Here is a 25087-nt window from a genome sequence, read left to right as displayed (position 1 = left end):
GGAGACAATTACACAAGCAGCAGCCCAACGTGTGCTTTGCAATATGCTGACCTGGCTTGCCCCACACCCAAGGGCAGACCCACAGATAGCCCTGCCTCTGCATCCACCACCAGAGCACCCAGTACCCAGCACCAGGCCACCCAGCACCCAGCACCAGGCCACCCAGCATCCAGCACCAGACCACCCAGCACCCAGCATCAGGCCACCCAGCACCAGGCCACCCAGCATCCAGCACCAGGCCACCCCAGCATCCAGTGCCTGGGCACCCAACGTCCAGCACCAGGGCACCCCAGCATTCAGCACCACAGCACCCCTGCATCCAGCACCAGGGCACCCCAGCCTCACCCACCCCAGGCCTCTGAAGGAGCAGGAGGCTGGGCCCCATGTCCCGCAATAGCACAGCCAGCTGGGCGAGACCACAGGCAGCACTGGAAGGGACTGTGCGGCTCTTTCGGATTAGGAAAGGGCCATGCTCCGCACAGCAGAAAACAGGGACGAGGTCGAAGAGGCAGCACAGAAAGCCCAGAGTCACTCCCCACCCACCATCGGAAACCAGTGAGCTCATTAGAAACCGCTTATCTATGAGGCCAAATGCCCTCAGCAGGAGAGAAGGAGGAGGGGGAAGGAGGAGGGGGAAGGAGGGGGAAGGAGGGGGAAGCGGGTGGGGAAGAGGAGAGGAGGAAGAGATCAAAGGGCGTGGTGGAGCTACACTTTCGACAGGCCTCCAGCACTGGGGACTATCTGGGAACGTCCAGGAAGGCCTGCGAGCTGAGACTGGGTGACTCATCTCTGGTGACAGAGGTAACCACCTGGCCAGAGGCACCTCTTTAAAGAGACAGATTCTTACACCCATCACAAACAGACCAGAACACTGGCCAGGCGTGGTGGCTCACACCTGTAATCCCAGCACTTTGGGAGGCTGAGGCAAGCGGATTACTTGAGCTCAGGAGTTCAAGACCAGCCCGACCAACATGGAGAAACCCCGTCTCTCTACTAAAAATACAAAATTAGCTAGGCACAGTGGCTCTCACCTGTAATCCCAGCACTTTGGGAGGCCAAGGCAGGTGGATTGCCTGAGGTCAGAAGTTTGAGACCAGCCTGGCCAACATGGCAAAACCCCATCTCTACTAAAAATACAAAAATTAGCCAGGTGTGGCAGTGGGCACCTGTAACCTCAGCTACTTGGGTGCCTGAGGCAGGAGAATCGCTTGAACCCAAGAGGCAGAGGCTGCAGTGAGCCGAGATTATACCACTGTACTCCAGCCTGGGCAACAGAGCGAAACTCCATCTCCAAAACAAAAAACAAAACAAAACAAAAAAACGGAATACTGACCAGAAGAAAATACCCAGGCTTGCTATTCCTTATTGAGGACACTCTGGGGAAAAACTCAAGGACTGGCCAGGCTGAGTGACAAGGAACAGAAATGGCTCCCGGGGCCCAGGGCCCCGGCCATGTCATCTGCAGGGATTTTCCCCATCTTATTTATGCAAGGGGCTCCTACTTGTAAACTGGAGAGAAAATGTTGTCCAAGAGGCTCAGAACCGGTGTCGGAGGCTCAGCGAGGACAGGCCCTCTCCCTGGGGTCCCAGAGTGGGCAGGAGGCCACAGCACCATGGACTCTGGGCTCCTCTGGCTGATCACGGAGGTCCAGGCCATGAGGCCCTTGAGGCTCAAGGAGAAGGGTGTCTGAGGCAGGTCAGTCTCACGGTAGCCACAGAGCATGCGCAGTGGAGTGACCCGGGCAGGAGGCTCCCCAGGCCAGCACCCCAGCCAGGAAGGGAAGGAGCAACTCTGTGTGTATCACAGCTTCACAGTCTCCAGCAATTCAGCATTTGCCCGCTTAAGTTTCTAGGTGCTGATAATTCACAAATAAAGGAGAAGAAAGCTTGCTCTCTCCTGCCTTCCAGGCCTGCGTGGAGGTGTGGGCCTGGTGTTGGGGCTGACCAGGAATCCTGCATCTCATGGGTGGCCCCACAGGACAAGTGAGCGGCTATGACACTGGACACTGCTTGGTGGCCAGCAGTTGCCCCAGGCCCCTGAGGATGGAGACAACAGGCAGAGCTGGGCAGCTACCTCCTTAAGCCCCACCCAGGGGCACCACCCCCCAAGACCAGGGCACCCGTGGCTGGAGGAGACCCAAGCAAGGGCCCTCTGACCCAGTTGAGTCTCACGGGATGTGACTGCTCGCTGCCCTAGATGTTTATGGAGGGGTGTTTGCTGTTGCAGTGATGGAAGGCACTGCTGGTTCTTAGAGGGGGGCTGAAATGCAGCCTTCATGGGTCTTACCAGACACCTGCCCTCCGGGCTCACATCTGACTCCAACTGTGATGCAAACGCCATGTATGTTGGTTTCATAGACACTGGATTTTCCAGGAATGAAACCTCCGATAACACACACCTGAGGGAGGAAGAGGAAGCCTGCTTTGGCCAACCCCGGCAAGGGACTGAGTCTACCCCCACCACCCTCTCACTGCAGCTTGAGCCAACAGGGACCACTTCATCTCCCAGTGCAAACGCGTGCAAGAGTTTCCAGATGGAAATACGTGTCAATCTGAAATCCTGAGTGCAATCTACGAAACCTATTTCCATACTGCACAAGAGACATCACAATGCTTTATTAATAACACAGAGCACTAATAACACATTTGCCAGACCCTGCTCTAAGCATTTTCCTGCATTACCTCCATTATGCAAAGGAGATGTGGGGCCCGGCAGGGCGGGGAATGACAGGCTGAGACTGACCACTCCCTCAGCCCTGGGCACAGGGCCCCCAGATGAGGGACTCACCCAAGGGACAAGGGTCTGCCCCTGCAGTGGCTTAGACCCTGGACCACGCCAACATGGCAAACACACGTGAGCTGCAAATGCCGGCCTGTGTGCAACTTTACATTGCTAGAGGCCACATTCAAAAGTAAAAAGAAATTGGCAAAAAAATGTTTTTAATAGGCCGTGCATGGTGGCTCACGCCTGTAATCCCAGCACTTTGGGAGGCTGAGGCAGGTGGATCACCTGAGGTCAGGAGTTCGAGACCAGCCTGACCAATATGATGAAACCCCCGTCTCTATTAAAAATACAAAAATTAGCCGGGCGTGGTGGCATGCACCTGTAATCCCAGCTACTCAGGAGGCTGAGACAGGAGAATGGCTTGAACTCAGGAGGCAGAGGTTGCAGTGGGCCAAGACTGTGCCATTGCACTCCAGCCTGGGCGACAGAGCAAAACTCCATCTAAAAAAAAAAATTAATAATACATTTTATTTAACCCAGTATATCCAAAATATTATCATTTCTACGTGTAACCAATATAGAAGAATATGAATGAGATCACTTACATTCTCTTTCATATCAAGCCTCTGAGATCGGCGTGCATTTCACACCACAAACACATCTCAGTTCCCACCAGCCATGTTTCCAGCATGCCTCTGTGGGCTGCATGGCTCATGCCGTCTGCCCCAGACAGCACAGGCTGAGGTATGACACGTTCTCTGAGGGCGACATCCTTCCCACCTCCCTTTTCTGTCTGCATGTTAAGAATTTTAGCAGTTTTCAGCTTCACCAACCCTTTGCCTTCTAAAGTATTTATAGTGGTTAATTTCTCCACTTGAGGCAGGTGCAGGGGTTCAATACTTTATGTATGTGTTTTCATATAAAGCATTTCTTAATTTAAGAAAAAATTGACCCACTCCCCAAAATACAATGTAATCACAAGGCACAAAATAAAAATTATGACACAGTTATTAAATACTTTCAGTTTTCTTTTTCTTCCACAAAACTTGGAAGGAAGAAAAAACTGATCCCTTTCTGGAAATAAATACATAATAAGTGACAAAGTAAAAACAATTAGTAATTACTATCACTTTCTTCTCAATTTTCTTTTTTTCCAAAAAAAGTTCTTACATTTGTTCTCATTCATTCTCTCTCATTTTCTCTCTCTTCCCCCTCCCTGGCATTAAGAATGACCAACTTGTAATCAAACCACCAGCCTGAAAACAAATCTTCCTTGCTACGAACAGTTAACATATTGCCACCTGTCACGTGTCCAATTCACCACCATGTCAAACACAGTCGACTGGAAATGTCCAGGGACCATCACTCAGCAATAAGCCGCCTGCCCACTTAATGCCAGTGAGCAGGAGACGTCCAGCGCCTGTCTCTAGACGTGTCCTTGTTTCCACTTTGGGGAGATATATGTGAGTGGAAATAACAAGGGTAATTGGCAAAATCATTGTGAAATGAATCTGTCCTACCATAAATGTGACTGCAAATTTTGAAGTTGATTTGCAAAAGGCCACAGACATAGCTGTGACCCATCCCACACTCAGTGGCAATACCACTGGGAAAAGGGTAGCTACTGTCTCTGAGTCATCAGAATCCCTGCCAGTAAAGCTGGACAGCCACCAGCACTCAAGATCAAAGCTGAGCTCCTGGCAGTAGAGACCTGCAGAGCACCTTTCCCATCTTCCTGCCAGTGACTTACAAAGGCAGCCCTCGCATACCTGAGGAAGTGGCACCAGAACAAGACAAGAACAGGCTGACCAGGAGCCCCACCCCGCCCCTGCAGATGCCTCTCCAGTGTGTTCCACAGGAACAGTGGCTGCCCCTGCCGCTCCCAGATCTCGGGCTCTAGGGGACAACAGTTGCTGCCCTCAGCTGTGCTGAGCCATGAAGTGATTCAGCAGCAGGGAAATCGGACGCTGGTCCAGGAACACAGCACCAGCCTGGGAGGCCACAGACAAACATCAATTTCATGGGTGCAAAAGGCCAGTGCCAACTGATGTCGAAGCTCAAGTCCACACCCTGAGTTTCCACAGTGCTCCTAAGATGCCTGGGGACGCAAGGGATGCAGGGCTGCGTCCTCCGCCCCGGAGTCATGCTGCCCTGTTCTTCAAGAATAAACAGTAACAGAGACGGGCAGAACCCACGTCTTCTCAGTTCCACCCCAGGAGCATAGGGAGAGGCCCACATGCCAGGATGCGGGGACACGGGAGCTCACGGGAAGCAAGAGTACCAGGTGCCCAGAGGTCCTAAGGCCAGCTCAGGACAAAGGCGCAGAGCTCAGGCTGTCGCTTCTAGATTGCTCTGCTTTTCAACGTGGTGCTCATTGATTGCAGTCACTCTTCCCTAAGTGCCATCATCCCCGGGCGGCCCAGCCAGGACTCAGAGTGCAGACAGCCACACACAACATGGCCGCCCTGACACGCACACAGCGCAGCAGGTCCACGTGCCACTGTGCCATTGACAAGGCATTTTCACATGTGCAGCCTCACAAACTGCTGAAGGAGAACAGACAAGGAGACAGGTGCACAGCCGAGAGCAGAGAAGGAAACTTGCCTGGGCCACACCCCCACGACCCAGCCTCCAAGCCCACGGCCACCCAGCACTTCCCACCGAGAAAGACCAGACTCCTCCTCCAGCACAGCCAGACACCCGCGGTCCCTTTTCACAGCTGAAATAAAATACTGTACAGCATCAATTGTGCTTTATACGGTATTCACAGGAGATGAAGCTTTACTCAGTCTTAGCATGTTGGATTTTTTTTTTTTTTTTTTTTTTTTTTGAGATAGAGTCTCACTCTGTTGTAGGCTGGAGTGCAGTGGCACAATCTCAGCGCACTGCAACCTCCACCTCCTGGGTTCAGGCAATTTTCATGTCTCAGCCTTCTGAGAAGCTGGGATTACAGGCACGCACTGCCACACCCAGCTAGTTTTTGTATTTTTAGTAGAGACAGGGTTTTGCTATGTTGGTCAGGCTGGTCTCGAACTCCTGACCTCGAGTGATCAGCCTGCCTCAGCCTCCCAAAGTGCTGGGATTACAGGCATGAGACACTGCAGCCAGTGGCATGTTGAATTTCAAAACTAGAAGACAAGCCAAGCGTGGTGGCTCACACCTGTAATCCTAGCACTTTAGGACCCGAGGTGGGCAGGTTGCTTGAGGCAAGGAGTTTGAGACCAGCCTGGCCAATATGGTGAAACCTCATCTCTACAAAAATTACAAAAATTAGCTAGGTGTGGTGGCGTGCAACTTCAATCCCAGCTACTCCAGAAGCTGAGGCACAAGAATCGCTTGAACCCGGGAGGTGGAGGTTGCAATGAGCCAAGATCGAGATTGCACCACTGCACTCCCGTCTGGGCAACAGAGTAAAACTCTGTGTCCAAAAAAAAAAAAAAAGACAAATGGAAATAAAAAACTATTAAACATCTACAACAGTGTCATTCTTTCAAATACTACTGGTGTGAGTAGAAACAGACGTGATCTTTGCAGAGGGTAAATCAGCAACAACGTGTCTAACGTCTTTGAAATGGCAAGACCCTTTACTCAGCAATCCACCTGTAGACTTTACCTTCAAGACATTGACTAGAGAAGAACTGTACAAGGATGCCCATCATATTTATAACTGGGAAAACGGAGCGGCATCAGTGTCCATTGACAGGGCTGGCCACAGCTGGCTGTGTCCACACAGCGGAGCCCAGTGCAGCCCTCCCTCGAGGGGGCAAATGGGAAGGTCAGCAGTGCAATGTGAACTGAAGCGGGCAGGCCGCAGAGACAGAGCCACGACGTGACTCCGTTGTGCATTAAGTGTGTGTGTGTATCTAACTCACACTCAGGATAGGAGCAGGCCACCTCGGCAAAGTGACATCCAGGTCGAAGTCACCAGGCAAAAGGAGAAAGTGTGTTCCAGGCAGGCTAAAGTCCAAGGCAGAGTGTGGCCAGTGGGGCAGCTTGAAGACCGGGTGTGGGGGTGCAGAGCGTGAGGTCGGGGGACACTGACATCAGCAGGCGTCATCACGGGTGGGGGCTGAGCAAGCAGTGGCGGGGAAAGCGCAGGGCCACTGAAAGGCTGCCTCTTGTTCTGTGGGGAACAAGTGTGATGGGATCTGAGCTGGAGCGACCCCACGCAAGACCACGGGCAGTCTCAGTCGAAAGCGAGGCTGGTGGTGGGGCAGGAGGCGGGCAAGGGGAATCGTGAGGGTCAAGGAGCCATAGATGGGGAAGGGGGTGTGGGAGATGGAGGAAGGGGGTCATAGATGGGGCCCAGGTTTCTGTCCTGGACACCAGTGGAGACAGAAGATAGAGGGGACAAGATGGTGATACCAGAACAACGATGGGAATGGGCCTGCTGGGAAGATATCCTCAGCCAGATCCCAAGAATAGCACCATTTCAGCCAGGCGCAGTGGCTCATGCCTGTAATCCCAGCACTTTGGAAAGCCAAGGCGGGCGGATCACCCGAGGTCGGGAGTTCAAGGCCAGCCTGACCAACAAGGAGAAACCCCGTCTCTATTAAAAATACAAAAAAATAGCAGGGCATGGTGGTGCATGCCTGTAATCCCGGCTACTCAGGAAGCTGAGGCAGGAGAATCACTTGAACCCGGGGGGCGGAAGTTGTGGTGAGCCAACATGGCACCATTGTACTCCAGACTGGGCAACAAGAGTGAATCTCAAAAAGAAAAAAAAAAGAATAGCACCATTTCAGGTGCTTCCTAGTCTTTTCCTTCACATTTATTTTCTACTTTTGAAACCTCACATGCCCTTTAACTATTACTGGCATATGCCATGTATATGTACAGCAGTTCTTCAGCTACCGAATACAAGTCATCTGAAGAAAGCCAATTGAAATGGCAACCTAGTCTGCCTGTGCTAAAGCAGCAGAAAGCATCTCAGGTGGGATGGGTGACAGGGAAGTCGACAAAAGGTTAAGTTTATAAGGACAAAATCTGAGTCACATTTTGCAATTGTTAAAACTGGTGGGCTGGGCATGGTGGCTCACACCTGTAATCCCAGCACTTCGGGAGGCCAAGGCAAGCGGATCCCCTGAGCTCAGGAGTTCAAGACCACCCTGGGTAACATGGTCAAATCCCATCTCTGCTAAAATACAAAAAATTAGCTGGGCGTGATGGCATGCACCTGTAGTCCCAGCTACTCAGGAGACTGAGGCACAAGAATCACTTGAGCCCTGGAGGCGGAGGTTGCAGTAAGCCAAGATCGTACCACTGCACTCCAGCTTGGGCAACAGAGTGAGACTTTGTCTCAAAAAAAAACAAATAAAACAAACAAAAAACAAAACAAAACAAAACAAAAACTGGTGAAAAGCATTTGATAATGACGTGCTCAGTGGGGAGGCTTCCCAGCTTTAAACACCCTGGAAATTACACGTTGTCCTCCACCAGGTAGTTTTAGAGTGAGAAAAAATTTCCCCCCAGACAGCCTGGTCATTTTGGTATATCTAATCTGTGACATTCCTTCTACTGTTCATTACGGTTTCACTCATCAGGATTTATGTAGATCCACCTCCACCATCAGCAATTTCTTCAATCTCAGATTTCTGCTGTAGGATCACTTTCCATCTAAGTCAATTATGTCTTTAGACATCCCCTTTGTGAGCCCAGGAAATCAGCCTAAAGTAATTCTAGATCAGTCCCACTCCTGGACTCCTGGTAGGAGCAGGGCTTCTCCAGGGAGGCTTTGCTCCCTTCAAGCCTTGCAGGAATCCACAGACAAAGCCCATGTGAAATGAGCCCACAATCCAAAATCACAAAGTGTGTGACAGGCAAGGATCAGGGAGCAAGAGGTAGCAGAACAAGTGGCGGAGTCCAACCCTCAAGAAATTCAAATTTTAGTATTTGTTAATATTATTATCGGTATTACTTTGGTATTATTAGTTACAGTATAGAAAATAAGTATGTTTAGACATAAAGAGAAAATAAAAATAAGTGTAAGGAAAAGAATACCAAACAAGAGGAGAGGCAAACTTGGAAAAAAACAAAGAGAACTTTCAGGAATGAAAAATATAACTATTAAAAAAATGAAAATTAAAAGAACAGGTTAGGCTGGGCATGGTGCCTGTAATCCCAGCACTTGGGAGGCTGAGGTGAGAGGATCACTTGACCTTGGGAGTTCAAGACCAGCCCTGGCAACATAGCAAGACCCCATCTCTACCAACAAAAAAAAAGAAAAAAGAAAAAGAACAACAATAACAGGTTAAATATTAATAGCGCAGAGGCTGGGCACGGTGGCTCACACCTGTAATCCCAGCACTTTGCGAGGCCAAGCCAGGTGGATCACCTGAGGTCAGGAATTTGAGACCAGCCTGGCCAAATGGGTGAAACCCCGTCTCTACTAGAAATACAAAAATTAGCCGGGCATGGTGGTGGGCACCTGTAATCCCAGCTACTCTTCAGGCTGAGGCAGGAGAATCACTTGAACCCAAGAGGCGGAGGTTGCAGTGAGCCAAGATTGCACCACTGCACTCCAGCCTGGGCAACAGAGCAAGACTCCATCTCAAAAAAAATGTATACCTATTTAAATAGCACAGTAGATGGAGATGAAGATAGAGTTGCTAAATTGGAAGACAGCTGAAGAAATAACCTGGAATGAAGCATAAAAAGACTGAAAGGTAAAAACATGAACGAGAGTTTAAGTGGCTGGGAGGATGGTATGAGAAAGCAAAGCATAAGGCAGATGCTGTATGGTTGACCCTCCATATCTAGGGGTTCCACATTTGTGGATTCAACCAACTGTGGATCAAAGATATTTGGGTGGAAAAATTCCTAAAAGCAAAACTTGAATTTGCTGCTCTCTACTATATTAAATCCACATTAATGAAGTTATATATAGGCATTGTATTAGATACTATAAGTAATCTAAAGATGATTTAAAAATACACGGGAGGGAGGCCGAGGAGGGCAGATCATGAGGTCAGAGTTCAAAACCAGCCTGGCCAATATGGTGAAACCCCTTCTCTACTAAAAATACAAAAATTACCCCAGGCGTGGTGGTGGGCGCCTGTAATTCCAGTTACTCAGGAGGCTGAGGCTGGAGAATTGCTTGAACCTGGGAGGCGGAGGTTACAGTGAGCCAAGATCGTGCCACTGCACTCCAGCTTGGGCGACTGAGTGAGACTCCATCTCAAAAACAAAGAAAAAAATACATATATGGGAGAATGTGCACAGGTTATATACAAATACGACACCATTTTATATCAGGAACTTAAGCATCCACTAATTTTGGTATCCATGGTGGGTTCTGGAACCAATCCCTAGTGGATACCGCAGAATGACTGTATTGAACAAAATAATGGCTGAAAATTTTCCAGAATTGCTGAAAGACATGATACTTTATCTTCAGAAAGTACAATGAATCCAAAACAGGATAAACAAAAAGAAATCCATGCTAGAAAGACCACAGTCAAGTTGAAAAACACCAGAAATAAAGAGACTATAAAAGCAGCCAGACAAAAAGCTTACTACTGACACAGGAAGGACAATTGAAATGACAGCTGGCTTCCTAACCGCAACTTTATAAGCCAGAAGATACATAATAGAATTCAATCCTTAAAGAAATGCCAGAGACTCAGTGCTATACAGACTATATCCCTCTGCCCATGAGGCTTTTCAGCTGAAATCATAATAAAAACAACCTAAAATCCTCAATGCCTTTGGACATAAATGCATTCATGGGTCATGGAAGAATAATAAAATTGTAAAATGCTGAACAATGAAAATATTACATATCAAAATAAACAAGACGACAGTACAGCAGAACTAAGTAGGAAAGCTACATAGACTTAAATGCTTATGACAGGACCGGGCGTGGTGGCTCATGCCTGTAATCCCAGCACTCGGGGAAGCCGAGGTGGGCGGATTGCCTGAGGTCAGGAGTTCAAGACCAGCCTGGCCAACATGGTGAAACCCTGTCTCTACTAAAAATACAATAGTTAGCCAGGCATGGTGGCACACGCCTATAATCCCAGCTACTCAGGTGGCTGAGGCAGGAGAACCACTTGAATCCGGGAGGCGGAGGTTGCAGTGAGCCGAGATCACGCCAGCCTGCGTGACAGAGGGAGACTCTGTCTCAAAAAATAATAATAAAATACTTATGACAGAAAGTTGAAAATTAAGAAACTAAGCTTAGAGAAAATAGAAAAGAAAATGTTTCAATTCAGTAACCTAGAAAGAGAACACCAGAATAAACCCAAAGAGTGTAGAAGGAAATCCTGACAATGAGCAGAAATTAGTGATACGGAAACAAAGACACAGTGGAGAAAATGAGTAAGACTGATAGCTGGTTCTTTGTGAACACTAATAAAAAAGATGAGCCTCTGTGAGATGAATCTAGAAAAGAAAGGTAAAACCATTTTAGGAATGAAAAGGGTGATTTACTGTCAGATATAGTAGAGATTTAAAAATTAAGAAAATATTCTGACCTTTGTATCAAGAAACTGACAACTTGGGCTGGGCGCAGTGGCTCACGCCTGTAATCCCAGCATTTTAGAAGGCCAAGGTGGGAGGATCACCTGAGGTCAGGAGTTCGAGACCAGCCTGGCCAACATGGTGAAACCCCGTCTCTACTGAAAATGCAAAAATTAGCCAGGCGTGGTGGTGCGCGCCTGTAATCCCAGCTACTCGGGAGGCTGAGGCAGGAGAATCGCTTGAACCCGGGAGGCAGAGGATGCAGAAGCCCTGTGTTCTCCTTCCAGGTACTAGAGCCGGAGTCCTCAGGGCACATGGGTTTTGCTGGTGCGCGTGCTTTACCTTGATGAAGTCAGGTGCTGCATACACTTCTGCGGCTCACTCCTTCCACCCAGCGTTATCCTCCGGAGGCGCACACATGTTGCGGCCTGGAGGAGCTCCTTCCTTCCCCTTTCCATGGCGAATGTAGCACGAGGTTATTTTTCATTTTATTTGGAGACAGGCATTGAGAGAGCTCCCGGGGTCTGACTCCAACACCCATGCCACTATGAGCACCTCAGCATGTCCCCCGGGAAGCACACGGCAGGTGCACCCGCCACTCGATGCCATCTCCCTGCAGCTCCTGCCATTCCCAAAGCAGCCACGCTGGCACCAGTGCTCTGTCTGCCCCCACATCTTCTCCAGCACTTGTCCCCACAGTCTTTTAAGTTTCGCCGTCCCGGCAGGGGGAGGCCGCAGCTCTCTGTGGTTTTGTTTCTGCGTCTTCCCGGTGACCCATGACAGTGGATCTTCCATCTCTCCAGCTCCTTGCTTTTGGGTCACTTTGTTTGTATTTCTCACACCAGGCCTCCTCTGCTTCAAGGAGGCAGAGTGGGACGATTCAGAACTAAACGGCCACTGTTTGTACCCACACCGGAAGGCAGCATGGTAGAAGCATTTCCCTAAAATCAGGAACAGGACAAGGATGGCCTGTCACACTTCCATACAGCCCTGCTCAGGAGGGCCTGGCCCAGGCAGCAAAACAGGAAGGAAAAATACGAAAGATATAAGGAAGAAACAGAGTCTTCACCACTCCCACATGACGTGAATGTCTACTGAGAAAATCCCCAAAATCTACAAATAAATTTTAAGCAATGGCAAGGTGATCAGCTGTTAAATCAATACCCAAAAGTCAACTGCATTTCTACAGAACACCAGCAAAGACTTAGAAATCAATAAAAATAAAAAACACCATTTACGGCCGGCGCGGTGGCTCACGCCTGTAATTCCAACACTTTGGGAGGCCGAGGTGGGTGGATCACTTGAGGTCAGGAGTTCGAGACCAGCCTGGCCAACATGGTGAAACCCTGTCTCTACTAAAAATACAAAAATTAGCTAGGCATGGTGGCGTATGCCTGTAATCTCAGCTACTCGGGAGGCTGAAGCAGGAAAATCACTTGAACCCGGGAGGCAGAGGTTGCAGTGAACTGAGATCCTGCCACTGCACTCCAGCCTGGGTGACAGAGCAAGATTTTGTCTCAAAAGAAAAAAAAAAAAAAACACCATTTACAAAAGCAAGAACAATAATAAGGGCACCTGGGAATAAATGTAAGCACAGAGTGTCAGGTGGAATGTGAAATACCACGGTGCTTTATCAAAAGACACCTCGGAAGACCTGCACAGTCAACTCTAGAGAGATAAAGGGCTTAAGCAGAGAAAGCAAACTTTACAACTTCTACAGAAAAATACAGAATACATTTGTGACCCAAGAATTGGGAAGAACTTAAAGTAACATGCAAAAGGCACTACCTAGAAAAGAAGGATGGATAAAATTATACATTACATTAAAACTATCTTTTCACCAAAACAAAAAAAGTGAAAAGATAAAACCCAACTGGGAAAAATATATAATGCACACATTACAGCCAAAGATGAACATCCTGAATCTATAAGGAAATATATAATATGGAAACTATATATAAGGAATAGGTGAGAAAAAGACATCACCCAAAAGAAAAATGGATGAAGCACATGAACAGGAACTTCACAGGGAAGGACACACATAACCAATAAATATGCAGGATGCTCACTTTCATCCAGCAGGCAGGCGTAAATCAAGACCACAACTGCACAACACTTTGCATCTACCAGCTTTGCGAAAATCAACAGCAATGCCAAGTGCTGACGGGTATGTGGATCACGTGTGTCCAGAGACATGGACATAGAACATTCCATGTAAACAGGTCAAGATTAGAAGTGCTTCTGGTAAATGTATGGATGCATTCTGAAAACATTATTTTTTGCAGGCTTTATCTTTGCATAGATCTTACGGGAGGGTCTCCCGTAGGCCCTTAAAGACACGTGGAGTTACGTTGTTTTTCCAATTGATGCTTATTCTCTTAGTACCATCTTCTCCTTTCCTCTAAGCATCATCAGAGAACGCTGTTTCCAGCAGCCATCCCTGAGACAGAGGCAATGATTCTTTTGGTTTCATCTGCACATAAATTCTTGGGATTTTTCCCCCTCTCTTCCTGCATTTTGGAAATGCGTGTTTTGTCCTCATTTAATTAGTTCAGTTACTTTGTTTCAAGAAATAAATACTGTAGCCCAGAGACTGTAAAAACAGTAGCCCCAGTTGAATTCAGTTGGCAACATTTGTAATTTGGCGTGTGCAGTTTGTTAAAAATAAATACATTGCATATAAAACTCCAGATACCTGGTTTCTCTCGGAAGACTAAAGATGGAGTCACTCTGGTCCTATACCCACCTGGCCCTGCTCAGCTGGGGGTCAGTAGCGGGTGGTCAGGTGAGCCAGACCCTGTGAAAGAGGCCTCAGTCTCTCACTCATGTTCACCACAGCCACCCCTTCATAGGCCTCATGTCTGCATTCTCACTTACCTTCCTAGCTGGACCCTGTCAGAATCTGTGTTTACGATTTTCCTGTATAGCTTTGTTCACCAAAAAGAAACATTATATACTGAATAATTCACTAACATTTATTTATTTGTTTATTTATTGAGATGGAGTCTGGCTCTGTCACCCAGGCTGGAGTGCAGTGGCACGATCTCAGCTCACTGCAAGGTCCGCCTCCCAGGTTCAAGGCATTCTCCTTCCTCAGTGTCCCGAGTAGCTGGGACCTATGCATGCGCCACCACACCTGGTTAATTTTTGGGTTTTTTTTTTTTTTTAAGTAGAGATGGGGTTTCATCATGTTGGCCAGTCTGGTCTCGAACTCCTGACCTCAAGTGATCCACGTGCCTCAGCCTCCCAAAGTGCTGGCATTACAGGTGTGAACCACCACCCGGGGACCCAATAATTCACTAACATTTAAAGAAAAGAAGTAAAAGTTACAAAGGCTTTGGGGCTCCAGGAAAATGCAATGCTAGCCTGGAGCTGGAACTGAACTGCACGACAAACATATTTTCTAACCAATGTTCTAGAACTTAAGTCATAGTAATAAGCTCCTGATTTAGAAAACTGAAAATAACCTGTGTGCACTGAAACACGTGTGTCCTGATCGCTGTAGTGCATTTGAAAATTCCCAGAACACCAGCACTTCGCCTCCCTGCACCAGCTCACTGCCAGCCACGGCAGGGAGTCCAAGGAGGACGGCTGTGGTTCGCTTCCTAAAACTAATCCAAAATCCCGCCCGCCCGTGCCGCATAATGAGTCACAGTTGGGATTGTCTTTACTGTTCCTTTTGTTTTTGTGGATTATCAAAAGTCACTAAACTTAGCCACGTGTGGTGGCAGCACCTGTAGTCCCAGTTACTGGGGAGGCCAAGGTGGGAGGATCGCTTGAGCCCAATAGTTTGAGTCCAGCCTGGGCAACACAGTGAGGCCCCACCTCTAAAATACATGCATAAAATTTTAAGTCCCTAAACTTTGTTTCTGAGGCCGCCATGGAGCTCTGCCAGAGAAAGCCGCTTCAAGGTGACAGGTGAGGAGACAGGTGAGCCACAGCCTCCTTGCTGAGACACCTTCGGGACCCCTTCAGGGGTAATGACCAAAGCGGGTACTCACGCAGGGCCACCCTGGGGGTCCACTTGGCACTGGGCTGGCTGTGCCTAACTCAGGGCTGGGTCTGAGGCTCCTCCTCCCCAGCACTGCTCCCTCCGCCTCCTCTCACGGGGGTCAGACCTGCCTGGAGGTCTGGTGCTCCCCCACCATCCTCTGCAGGGTTTCTTCCTGCACTTCCCATCTCATCGTGGCACCTGCTTCCCAAACTGACAAGTGCATAACCCAAACTGACGCGGTCTTCCTCTAACAATCTGACTTCTGTCTATTTTGGCAAAAATCAATGCTAGTACACCATATTTTACAAAGTATAACAACTGGTTAATTTCTCAATGCAAAAATTATGTGTAGCTCCCTAATAAAATGCACATTTGTTCACTCAATCAATCACTCCAATTAGACTAGGACAATGGCCTAAATCAGAAATCAATCTATGAAAAGCTTAACCCAATCATCAGCACATTCTTCACATGAGGAGTCAATAAACAGCTCTTCATTTTACTCCCACCAAGTGTACCGTAAAAAGCTGAGCATAGATGAATTTACGTCAATTGAATTAATTTTCTTCTTGATTCCATATCCAGCATGTATCTGTTTCTATCAATTCAGATGGAGATTTCAGAGCCCCCAGTCCAGCAAGTACGGCCTTCTACAAGTGAAAAGTGTTTAAATGAATACGTGTATGTGAAGCCAATGACTTAGTCTCCGTTTCAGAAATGTAGATTTTCATCTATTGGATCTTATGAGCATCAAGGTGGTTTGGTGGAAAGAATAACAGCTTTGGATTCTATTGGACCTTTGTTTAAATCTAGATTTGCCCAAGCTGAGACGCTGGCCACACTTCCCCACTCAGTTTCCCATGTCAGTGTCTCTGTCAGTTTCTGTGTGATGGGGCAATACCACTCTCCTTACAGGGATGTAGAGGAGCTTATAAAATAATAAGGTAAGCATGTCATAAAGCAGGTGACAGATTTAGTGTCAGGTCAGCTAATAGGACATGAGGAAGAGAACAAGAGCCAGCGTGGCTGCAGCGCCGGTACTCAGCTCCCAGCACCTGGCTGAGAATCAGGAGGGCAGACAGTCAGGGGTGAGTAATCGATCTCAGGACAGGTATTTCCTTGTACAGCTTGTTACTGCTGCTCATTTTATAATTCATCATTATTGTTATTTATTATGCATTTCATTCTCTACCCGCTTTCAGAAAGGAATCGAGACCATCTCCAACAATGATGCATAGCCTTCCCAGTCACTGGGGACAGGCCTCTGGGCTGCAGGCACACTGTCCCACCAAGAGCACCCAGCTCCACTTTGAGTCTTAAGTGACACAGGGCACGCTAGCCAGGAGGTAGATTTCTGCCAGTCACACACTGAAGGATAGTTGTGTTGCTTTCAATTCACCACCAGTAACATTTAAAACATATCCTATCTGCAATCCTTCTACCTAGGCTTGGGAAAAGACGTGGCCAATTTAACCCCAGCATCCATGCACCCTAATAGCCAGGTACAGACTTTGGCCCTGCAGAAAGAATGGCCAACTTTCACCATCAACTCGGCCTTCCCGCCTCCAAAACTAAACACAGACACTGCCCCAAGGTTATGAGACTGCCTGTCTCCTGCACTTTGCTTGACAAAGATAATCAAAACATGGCCGCTTGTAAATGACTACATGAAAGCCTGTCAGAAGGTGAACGATTAATGCACTTGCCTAAAATGCAGCGCTTTGAAATTGGTAATTTAGAATCAATCTTGAAATTATGATGAAGTGGTTTTAGGAAGGACAGACGCCTCGTGGTCATGTTACTTTACCACTTGAAACGACCCGTTTAAAACCCCAAACACTCTTCGGTTAACCAAAAGTAAATTCCCATGAAATTTCTGAGCAACTGTCTTTAGAAAACTCAGTCCAACTTTACTGTAACAAAAATCTTGCAATGAGATGGAGCAGCTAAAGATCTCACATTAAACAAGTCATTAAAAAGGAAACAGTCAAATGTAGCCAATCACGTCCCACGCTGCGATCTAGAAACACCAGTCCACCGGCGATACCTTATAACAGGGACATCACAAGAGTTTTTGACAAGGCCAGAGAGGGGGGGCAAAGCGTGGAAGCAGAAGCCATTGAATTTACCAGAGGTGGGTTTTGATGGTGACAACGGGCCTGCACTGGCTCTTCAGTGCCAAGCACTAGGGGCTCTGCCGTGGGGTCTGCAATGTGAGAGCCTAAGCGGGGCTGAAGATTGATGAACAGGGTAAATGTGATTGGGCAAGTTAAGGACACCCCTCCTCCAAAGGAATCCAGGAAATCAGGCTCTTCTCAAACACACATTCTGATCTTCCCCTTCCCTGTTTAGGAGAATTCCAACATTTCCCACCTACCTCTGATTTGACCAGGGATAGCATCCGTGGACTTTCAGCACCCGGACGGGTCTGTGGAGGTGGGAGTTCCAGGGATGTAAGCCTAAAGGCGGCCCTGCCGTTCCGTGACACAACCTCGGGCAAGTAACTCAAGCCCTGTTGTGTCAGATCACTTGTTTACGAGGTCAAAGTGCGGAGGGGATGGGAGGCAGGTGTATCAGTCACGTGTCTACGGCAGGGACGGAACAGATTACTTTGGTGAATGCTCTTTTTCTAATTTCCAAAATAAAGCCATTACTTTCAGTTTGCTTCCCCAGTCCTGGCACACAGACGCGCGTCCAGGCGCAGGGTGTAGCTCCCCAGCGTGGAGTCTGCACTGGGGCCCCAGCCTGGGGCGGGGCAGCACCCTCCCTCCAGGAAGGCCTGTTCTAGAATCCACACTCCTGGGGACTTTCCCACCCGGCCACACTGCCTTTAACCCAGCAGTCTTCAGGCTGCTGCAGCGCGTCCCCCTGGCAGATACGCCAGGACAGGGCCACGCACAGGTAGGGTGACCACAGAGGGCGGCCACTCCATGAAGTCACCTTCAGAATATTTAAGGCCCCTACACCTTCTAAGGCCAAGGGGCCCTGTTCTGTCTGAATGTCAATGGCATGCAGCTGCTTTTTAGACAATGTCCTCAAGAAGATACTTAAGACTAACCAGAAATGGATACAAGAAGCGAGTTGTAACAGGCACAGGCTAACGCCGAACTCTGTGGGGGAGGAGGATTGGTTGGAAAGAGGGAGGGGGGGCGGCAAAGAAGTGGCCAAATCAAGAGAGTGCTCAGCATCCTCGGGAGACCCCTCTGAAGCTTTCAAACTGAGAAGACGAAGTTCAGCAATTCCTAAGCGAGTCGAGTCGGAGCAGCCGCGCCTGCAATTTAAAAGCTGCAGGATCCTGGGTCCCTCTAGCAGCCTGGGCCCGCCGCCCGCCCCACCTCCCAGCCCCCAGCAGGCTCTCGGCGTTGGCTTTCATTTTTAATAAGAGCCGCATGCTCATCACCCTCTGTCTGGAGGCCAACAGCCCACATCTTTCTTCTACTAAGATCATGTTTCCCAGGAAAAAGAACCCAACTGCTCAAGTATTCTCCTAGACAAAGCTTTTAAAATTGTGCTTTTTTTTTTTTAAAGGTCTGGGAAGCCATTTATAAAAGCATTTTCCCCATGTCACTAAACTTCTCTCAAAGTTAAAAAAAAAAAAAAAAACACTGCACCATTTTTAACTGCCTTCAAATACTAATAACCCTCCTTTCCTAAGTACTTGGGACCAATGTTCCAAGGGTCCTGGGGTGGCCAGGAGTGGGTTTTCGCCCCCACGGCTCTTGCCCCCGGACTGACCCCATCCCCTGACCCGCCCGGTGCAAACGCGCCGCCGGTCTCCGGGCCGAACCCACAGCCAACCCCGGGCCCCGCAGCCCTCCCCGCGCGGAGCGGCAAAAGTGAAACTGCTCCCTTGGCCTGGGCGCGCGAGGAGGAGGCCCCTGGGGGGGGTCCCGGGTCCGCCGCGCCCCGAAACCAGGCGGCGGGCGCGTCCTGTCCACGGGGGAGCCGAGCGGGGCCCGGAGCAGAGTCCAGGACGGAGGGATGGGACGTCCCCGCGGGAACCCACTCGCCCTCCCTCGGCCCGGCCCGGGCCCCTCCCGGGCGCCCCGAACCCCCGGGCCTCCCCGCTGGGCCCAGCGCCACCGAGGCTGCTGCGGGAAGCGGCCGGGGCCTCGCGCTGGACCAGGCCGCCGGGGAGGCCGGGGTTGCGGGGGGCGCACAGGACCCGGGCCCAGACCTCCTCCCGGCCCCGCGCCTTCCCAGGCCCCGCGCCCCGCGGAGCGCGGCCGGCCCATTGCGGCGCGGGGCCCCGGGCGGCCCGAGGTCGGACGGCTGGGGCAGGGGCGACCTCCGGCGGCGGGAGGGCGACCTCGGGCGGCGGCGGGGCGTGGGGGAAGAGGGGGGCGGCCCGACCTCGGGTGGGGGCCTCGGTGCTCACCTGCAGCCGCCGCCACCTGCTCGTCGCGCGGGCGTCCCCGGCGTCGCCTCCGCGGCCCCGCTCTGGCCGCCGCGCTCCTCGGCCCTGGGCCCGGCCCGGCCCTGCGTCGGGGCCTCAGCGAGTGCGGCGCCCGCCGCCCCCGGCCCCCATCCCGCCGCCCTCCGCCCTCCGCCCTCGGCCGCGCCGCCGCCGCCACTTCCTGTGCGCGGCGATCCCACAGTTCCGCCGGCGCGCGCGGGGCGGCCGAGGGACACGCTGGGGGGACACGGGGGAAGGACGCGGGGGGGGACGCGGGGGGACGGCGCGGGGGGGGACGCGGAGGGGACACGGGGGCGACACGGCGGGACACGCGCGCGGAGAGAGGTGTGGGCCGAGGGCGCCGGCGGGGCCGGGCGCGGAGCCTGCGTGGGATCCGCTAACGGACGGGGCTGGGGCCCGGGCTGGGGGAGGGGGCGGGCCGGGACCGCGGGGGGCGCGGGGATCAGGGGGGTCGGGGCTGAACGGGGGGAGGCGGCGAAGGACCAGGCTGGGGTCCCGCGAGGGCTCCCCCGGACCGGGTCGGGGGCAGAGGGGGCCGGGGCGCGGGGTGGGGCCGGGAGGGGCCTCCGAGCTCTGCCTGGGCCCCGCCATCTCCCCTGCCGGGGTCTCCTGCGGGCGCCGGGGAAGTTTCGCGCGCGAGCTCCTGCCCTGGTCGGCCGGGGCTTAGGGTCGCCGTCAGGGGTCGCCGCGCGGCGGGCTCGGTGGGGACGGCCCTGCGCGCAGCGGCTCCGCGGAAGGATCGCGTTTCGGCCCACGTGCCGCGCCCTTGGACTTATTCATAGTTGGCACCCGGCTGGCAACACTGTATCGACACTTGACCGTGGCGGGGGTGGGGGTCGCCCCGGGGCTGCCCTGCGAACCCCCGCGGGCGCTGACGCCGTCCCCTCCAGACCGCGGAGCCCTCTCAGCCCCAGGACAGCGGCTGCCGTCCCCCCTCCCTTGCACCTGGCCAGCGGCCGATCCCAGAACCTGCGGAGGCCGCGCAGGTGCCGCTGTCAGGGCAGGGCCCGCTGCGGGCTCCGCCTCCTGCGCCCGGTACCTTGTGTGACCTGGCGCCTGCTCAGGTCCTCAGGCCCCGGCTGGACTTGCTGAGCTTGGGTGGGCTTCATTTGAAAACCATTTAAAATACCAAGTACTGGTACTGTCTACTGTGCCCCTTTTTTTCCTTTTTTTTTTTTTTATTTTTATTATTATTGAGACAGGGTCTTGCTCTGTCGCCCACCCTGGAGTGCAGTGGTACAATCATAGCTCGCTGAAGCCTTGAACTCCAGGGCTCAAGTGATCCTCCCACCTCAGCCTCCCAAGTAGCTGGGACCACAGGCACACACCACCATGTCTGGCTAATTTAAAAAAAATTTTTTTTGTAGAAATGGGGCCTCACGGTGTTGCCCAGGCTGATCTCGAACTCCTGAGCTCAAGTATTCTCCCACCTCCTCCTCTCAAAGTGCTGGGATTACAAGTATGAGCCCCCGCACCCAGCTTGCACCTCCCTTTAAGCCTCCTCAAATTATTTCAGAAAATACTTAGACTAAAATAAAATGAAAGTACCGTGCACCTGTCCTACTCACAGTTCCCTTATTCTTGAAAAAGGAGTTAAGATTTGCAAAGCTCGTGGAATTCACCATTTGTAAAACCTCTCACCCCTCATGTCATTTTGGGTAATCTGTGCCACAGATAAATTCTCACAGGCACCACGGGATGTGTGGATACAGGGATGTGCTGACTTACAGCTATACCTATAATCACAGGAAGCCTGAGAACAACCAGACACTTGGTTAAATAAACTCTAGAACATTCATTTAGCATTTTTAATTTAAAACATTTTCTAAAGTTGTGATGTGATAATTCTGTGTACACAGATAGGATATAGTCTCCAAGATCTGTTAAATTAAAAAATAAAAATAGTGCAGAGCAGTGAATATACAATGATGTGCTTTATTTAAAACAAACAAACAAACAAAAAATGGCCAGGCACGGTGGCTCACACCTGTCTGTAATCCCAGCACTTTGGGAGGCTGAGGCTGGTGGATCACGAGGTCAGGAGTTCAAGACTAGACTGGCCAAGATGGTGAAACCCCGTATCTACTAAAAATACAAAAAAAAAATTAGCCTGGCGTGGTGCAGGCGCCTGTAATCCCAGCTACTCGGGAGGCTAAGGCAGAGAACTGCTTGAACCTGGGAGGCAGAGGTTGCAGTGAGTCAAGATTGTGCCACTGCACTCCAGCCTAGGTGACACAGTGAGACTCTATCTCAAAAAAAAAAAAAAAAAAAAAGACCAGATGCAGTGGCTCACACCTGTAATCCCAGCACTTTGGGAGGCCAAGGCGGGTGGATCACTTGAGGTCGGGGGTTCCAGACCAGCCATGGTGAAACTCCACCTCTGCTAAAACAAGATACAAAAATTAGCTGGGCGTGCTGGTGCTCTCTTGTAATCCTAGTTACTCAGAAGGCTGAGACAGAAGAATTGCTTGAACCCGGGAGGCAGAGGTTGCAGTGAGCTGAGATCTAGCCATTGCACTCTGGCCTGGGCGACAGAGCGAGACTCTGTCTCAAAACAAACAAACAAATAAAAAAAAAAAAAAAACAGAAAACAACATAGGCAGATACAAGTCCAGAAGGCTCTGTGAAGATATGATAGTGAATGGGCAAGGGTAAAGAAATTTTATTACAATAAAATTTCTATGTATGTTAGGTAGTAATGTTTAGATTTATCATAAGCACACATTTTATAATTTATATATTTTATAATTTATTATTACTATTAGAAAAAGGGTGTCCCCCCGTCACCCAGGCTAGGAGTGCAGTGGTATGATCATAGCTCACTGCAGGATCCCTGAAGGGATCCTCCCACCTCAGCCTCTCAAATAGCTAGGGCTATAAGCATGCACCACCACGCCCAGCTATTTATTTATTTATTATTTATTTAGTAAAGATGGGGTCTCATTCTGTTACCCAGGCCACTCTCAGACTCCTGGCTTCAACGATCCTCTCACCTTGGCCTCCCAAAATGCCAGGATTAGAGGCATGAGCCACCCAGCTCTGCATACTTATTAAAAATGAATTATGATGTACCTCTTCATTTAAACATTGGATGGCTCCTTCAGCCTCACTTTGAGCTTTTAGATGAGCCCCAAATATTATGTTTGTCTCACTGGTGTAAAACTTCACTGACAGACCAGCCTGGGCAACAAAATTAAAATTAGCTGGGTGTGGTCCAGCACACCTGTAGTCTCAGCTACTCAGGAGGCTTAGGTGGGAGTCGAGGCTGCAGTGAGCCATGAACGTGCCCCCTGCACTCCAGCCTGGATGACAGAGACAGACCCTTTCTTCATTAGAATCTGTGATCACTGAGACCTGAGTCGAGCCCCTGGAGAGCCGCAGGTGCGCAGACACTCAGAGAAGCATTTGAAGGGAACTGGAAGTCAGCCACCCACCCTCAACTGTTTACAGGGTTCCAGTGTGCAGGTGCTCAGATTGGCAGGAAACGTCATCGCTAACCTTTGTTGAGCCCTTGTTATGTGTGTAGATTAGTTCATTAACCAAAACCAGGCCACAAGGTAGAGACGACTGACACCCCATTTTACCTTTAAGGAAACTGAGGCATAACAAACCTCCCTACCTTATCCGCCAGCACACAGGGCAGCAGAGGCAGGCAGCCCGGCTCTAGGCCCTGATGCAGCCACAGCGCAGCAGCTTCTCCTGACCCGGTAATGGGGTTGGTTATTAAGAAAGAGACTCGTGGTGAGCCAAGATCATGCCATTGCACTCCTGCCTGGGCAACAGAGTGAGACTGGATTGGATCTCAAAAAAAAAAAAAAGAGAGAGACTCAGATCCTCAGCCTCCTCAATGAAAAACTGGGGGCAAAGGGAGATTCTGACCTTGAGTAGTATTTGTCCAGAGAGGGGATTTTTGCTAGGAATGAAAAGAAGAAAAGTAGTTTTTTTGTTTATTTGTTTGTTTGAGACAGAGACTTGCTCTGTCGCCCAGGCTGGAGTGCAGTGGCACGATCTTGGCTCACTGCAGCCTCCGCCTCCTGGGTTCCAGCAATTCTTCTGCCTCATTCAGCCACCAGAGTAGCTGGGATGACAGGCACCTGCCACCACGCCCGGCTAATCTTTGTATTTTTAGTAGTGGTGGGGTTTCACCATGTTGGCCAGGCTGGTCTCGAACTCCTGACGTCAAGTGATCCACCCACCTCGGCCTCCCAGAGTGCTGAGATTCCGGGTGTGAGCCACGTGCCCAGCCTTTTTGGTATTTGTTGTCCACGGTGCATATGAGCCAGGCCCTGGGAAAGGGGCTCCCTCTTCATTATTTGCTCTAATTCTCAGCCTGAACTTGCCGACATCTGGGCTCACAGATAAGCAAACTGAGCCAGAGAGATGACCCCAGGGCCAAATGGCAGATTGCTGCCCACCTCCACACCCAGAAGGAGGCTTTCCAGTTCTGAGGGGGCCTCATTGGACAACTTGCCCATCCAGCCCTGCCCAAGGCCCAGGGGGCCCAGTCTGGCTCAAGGCAGGTCAGGGGAGAGGACAGGCAGCGGCTGGCAGTAGGGAGGGCCCTGGAGCAGGTAGGGCTGGACGCTGAGTCGCGCGACTGCCAGGGGAGCTGAGAGCCAAGGCTCAGCGCCAGCCTGTGACCTTAAACAACGACGTTACCCATTTGGTCTTAGTTTCTTTTTTTGTAAAATGAGGAGGTTCCCACCCAGATTTCCCTGATCTCCAAGAGGATGCCGGGAGAGCCAGGGGCCCTCGGGGTAACTCCGGCATTCTTAAAAGCCCAAAGACAACTCTATATTTATCTCAGATGTAAAAGTTTACCAAAACGAAAGATAATAACTTTGCTGTAAATACACGAACTCCGGCATGTGGATACTAATCTCTACTGGATGGACGTTAACTATTTTTGGCTAATAGGTAATAGGAAAACAATGCAAACAAAAGCTTTTTTTCCTAGGAGACACATTATTTTTTAAACATAGACTTCCACAGAGGCAAAAATTATAAACAAGATCTTTCACAGCAAAGAGATTAGAAACCCTGGGTGCACTAAGACCTCACCCCTGGAAATGATTCTTGAGAAACTGAGTTCAGTCTGGAGGCGCTGAGTCCGGTGAGATTGTTGCCATCTGTCAGAGGCTTTTGAACCAGAGCGACTCCGTCTTGAACAGGGGCTGAGTAAAAGGCTGAGACCTACTGGGCTGCGTTCCCAGACAGGTAAGGCATTCTAAGTCACAGGATGAGCTAGGAGGTTGGCACAAGATACAGGTCATAAAGACCTTACTGATAAAACAGCTTGCAGTGAAGAAACTGGATAAAACCCACCAAAAGCAAGATGGCCACAAGAGTGACCTCTGACCGTCCTCACTGCTACACTCCCACCAGCACCATGACAAGTTTACAAATGCCATGGCAACGTCAGGAAGTTACCCTATATGGTCTAAAAAAGGGAGGCATGAATAATCCACCCCTTGTTTAGCATATCATCAAG

General features: G+C 50.3%; 1 protein-coding gene across 13 annotated transcripts in view, besides 6 other annotated features; it reads right to left on the bottom strand.

Moving 5' to 3' along the window:
• The window catches only part of AGPAT3 (1-acylglycerol-3-phosphate O-acyltransferase 3), a 122370-nt gene extending 102690 nt beyond the window's left edge, over positions 1-19680 (bottom strand). For 5 of the 13 annotated variants that reach the window (XM_047440923.1, NM_020132.5, NM_001369881.1 and 2 more), the window contains exon 1: positions 19558-19680. Coding sequence is in view for 4 of the 13 variants with exons in the window: in XM_047440916.1 (XP_047296872.1) it covers positions 1503-1723 (221 nt within the window). In the remaining 9 variants the exon portion in view is untranslated. Of the gene's footprint in view, positions 1-1502; positions 1857-2287; positions 2400-17556; positions 17765-18237 lie in introns of those variants that run through there. The other 8 variants (XM_047440926.1, XM_005261160.5, XM_047440924.1 and 5 more) reach the window with 6 other exon arrangements.
• Positions 2099-2685: an enhancer, noted in NCBI's record as "H3K4me1 hESC enhancer chr21:45302099-45302685 (GRCh37/hg19 assembly coordinates)". NCBI's record gives its function as "activates a minimal SCP1, AML or CMV promoter by ChIP-STARR-seq in naive H9 embryonic stem cells {active_cell/tissue: H9 hESC(naive)}" and the evidence as "EXISTENCE:reporter gene assay evidence [ECO:0000049][PMID:30033119]".
• Positions 4823-5007: a silencer, noted in NCBI's record as "fragment chr21:45299777-45299961 (GRCh37/hg19 assembly coordinates)". NCBI's record gives its function as "represses an EF-1alpha promoter that drives an FKBP-Casp9 reporter gene in an ReSE screen in phorbol 12-myristate 13-acetate-treated (for megakaryocytic differentiation) K562 erythroleukemia cells {active_cell/tissue: K562(+PMA)}" and the evidence as "EXISTENCE:reporter gene assay evidence [ECO:0000049][PMID:32094911]".
• Positions 18922-19241: a silencer, noted in NCBI's record as "silent region_13373". NCBI's record gives its function as "represses an Ori minimal core promoter by ATAC-STARR-seq in GM12878 lymphoblastoid cells {active_cell/tissue: GM12878}" and the evidence as "EXISTENCE:reporter gene assay evidence [ECO:0000049][PMID:35858748]".
• Positions 19362-19711: a silencer, noted in NCBI's record as "silent region_13372". NCBI's record gives its function as "represses an Ori minimal core promoter by ATAC-STARR-seq in GM12878 lymphoblastoid cells {active_cell/tissue: GM12878}" and the evidence as "EXISTENCE:reporter gene assay evidence [ECO:0000049][PMID:35858748]".
• Positions 20262-20621: a silencer, noted in NCBI's record as "silent region_13371". NCBI's record gives its function as "represses an Ori minimal core promoter by ATAC-STARR-seq in GM12878 lymphoblastoid cells {active_cell/tissue: GM12878}" and the evidence as "EXISTENCE:reporter gene assay evidence [ECO:0000049][PMID:35858748]".
• Positions 23756-24253: a transcriptional cis regulatory region, noted in NCBI's record as "candidate enhancer chr21.1179 targeted for multiplex CRISPR interference". NCBI's record gives its function as "positively regulates PFKL gene expression in K562 cells {active_cell/tissue: K562}" and the evidence as "EXISTENCE:mutant phenotype evidence [ECO:0000015][PMID:30612741]".

Source organism: Homo sapiens, chromosome 21, assembly GCF_000001405.40.
Source record: "Homo sapiens chromosome 21, GRCh38.p14 Primary Assembly".
NCBI classification, from domain to species: Eukaryota; Metazoa; Chordata; class Mammalia; order Primates; family Hominidae; genus Homo; species Homo sapiens.
The sequence above is the reverse complement of the archived record's forward strand: the minus strand, read 5'-3'. Positions and strand labels throughout refer to the sequence as shown.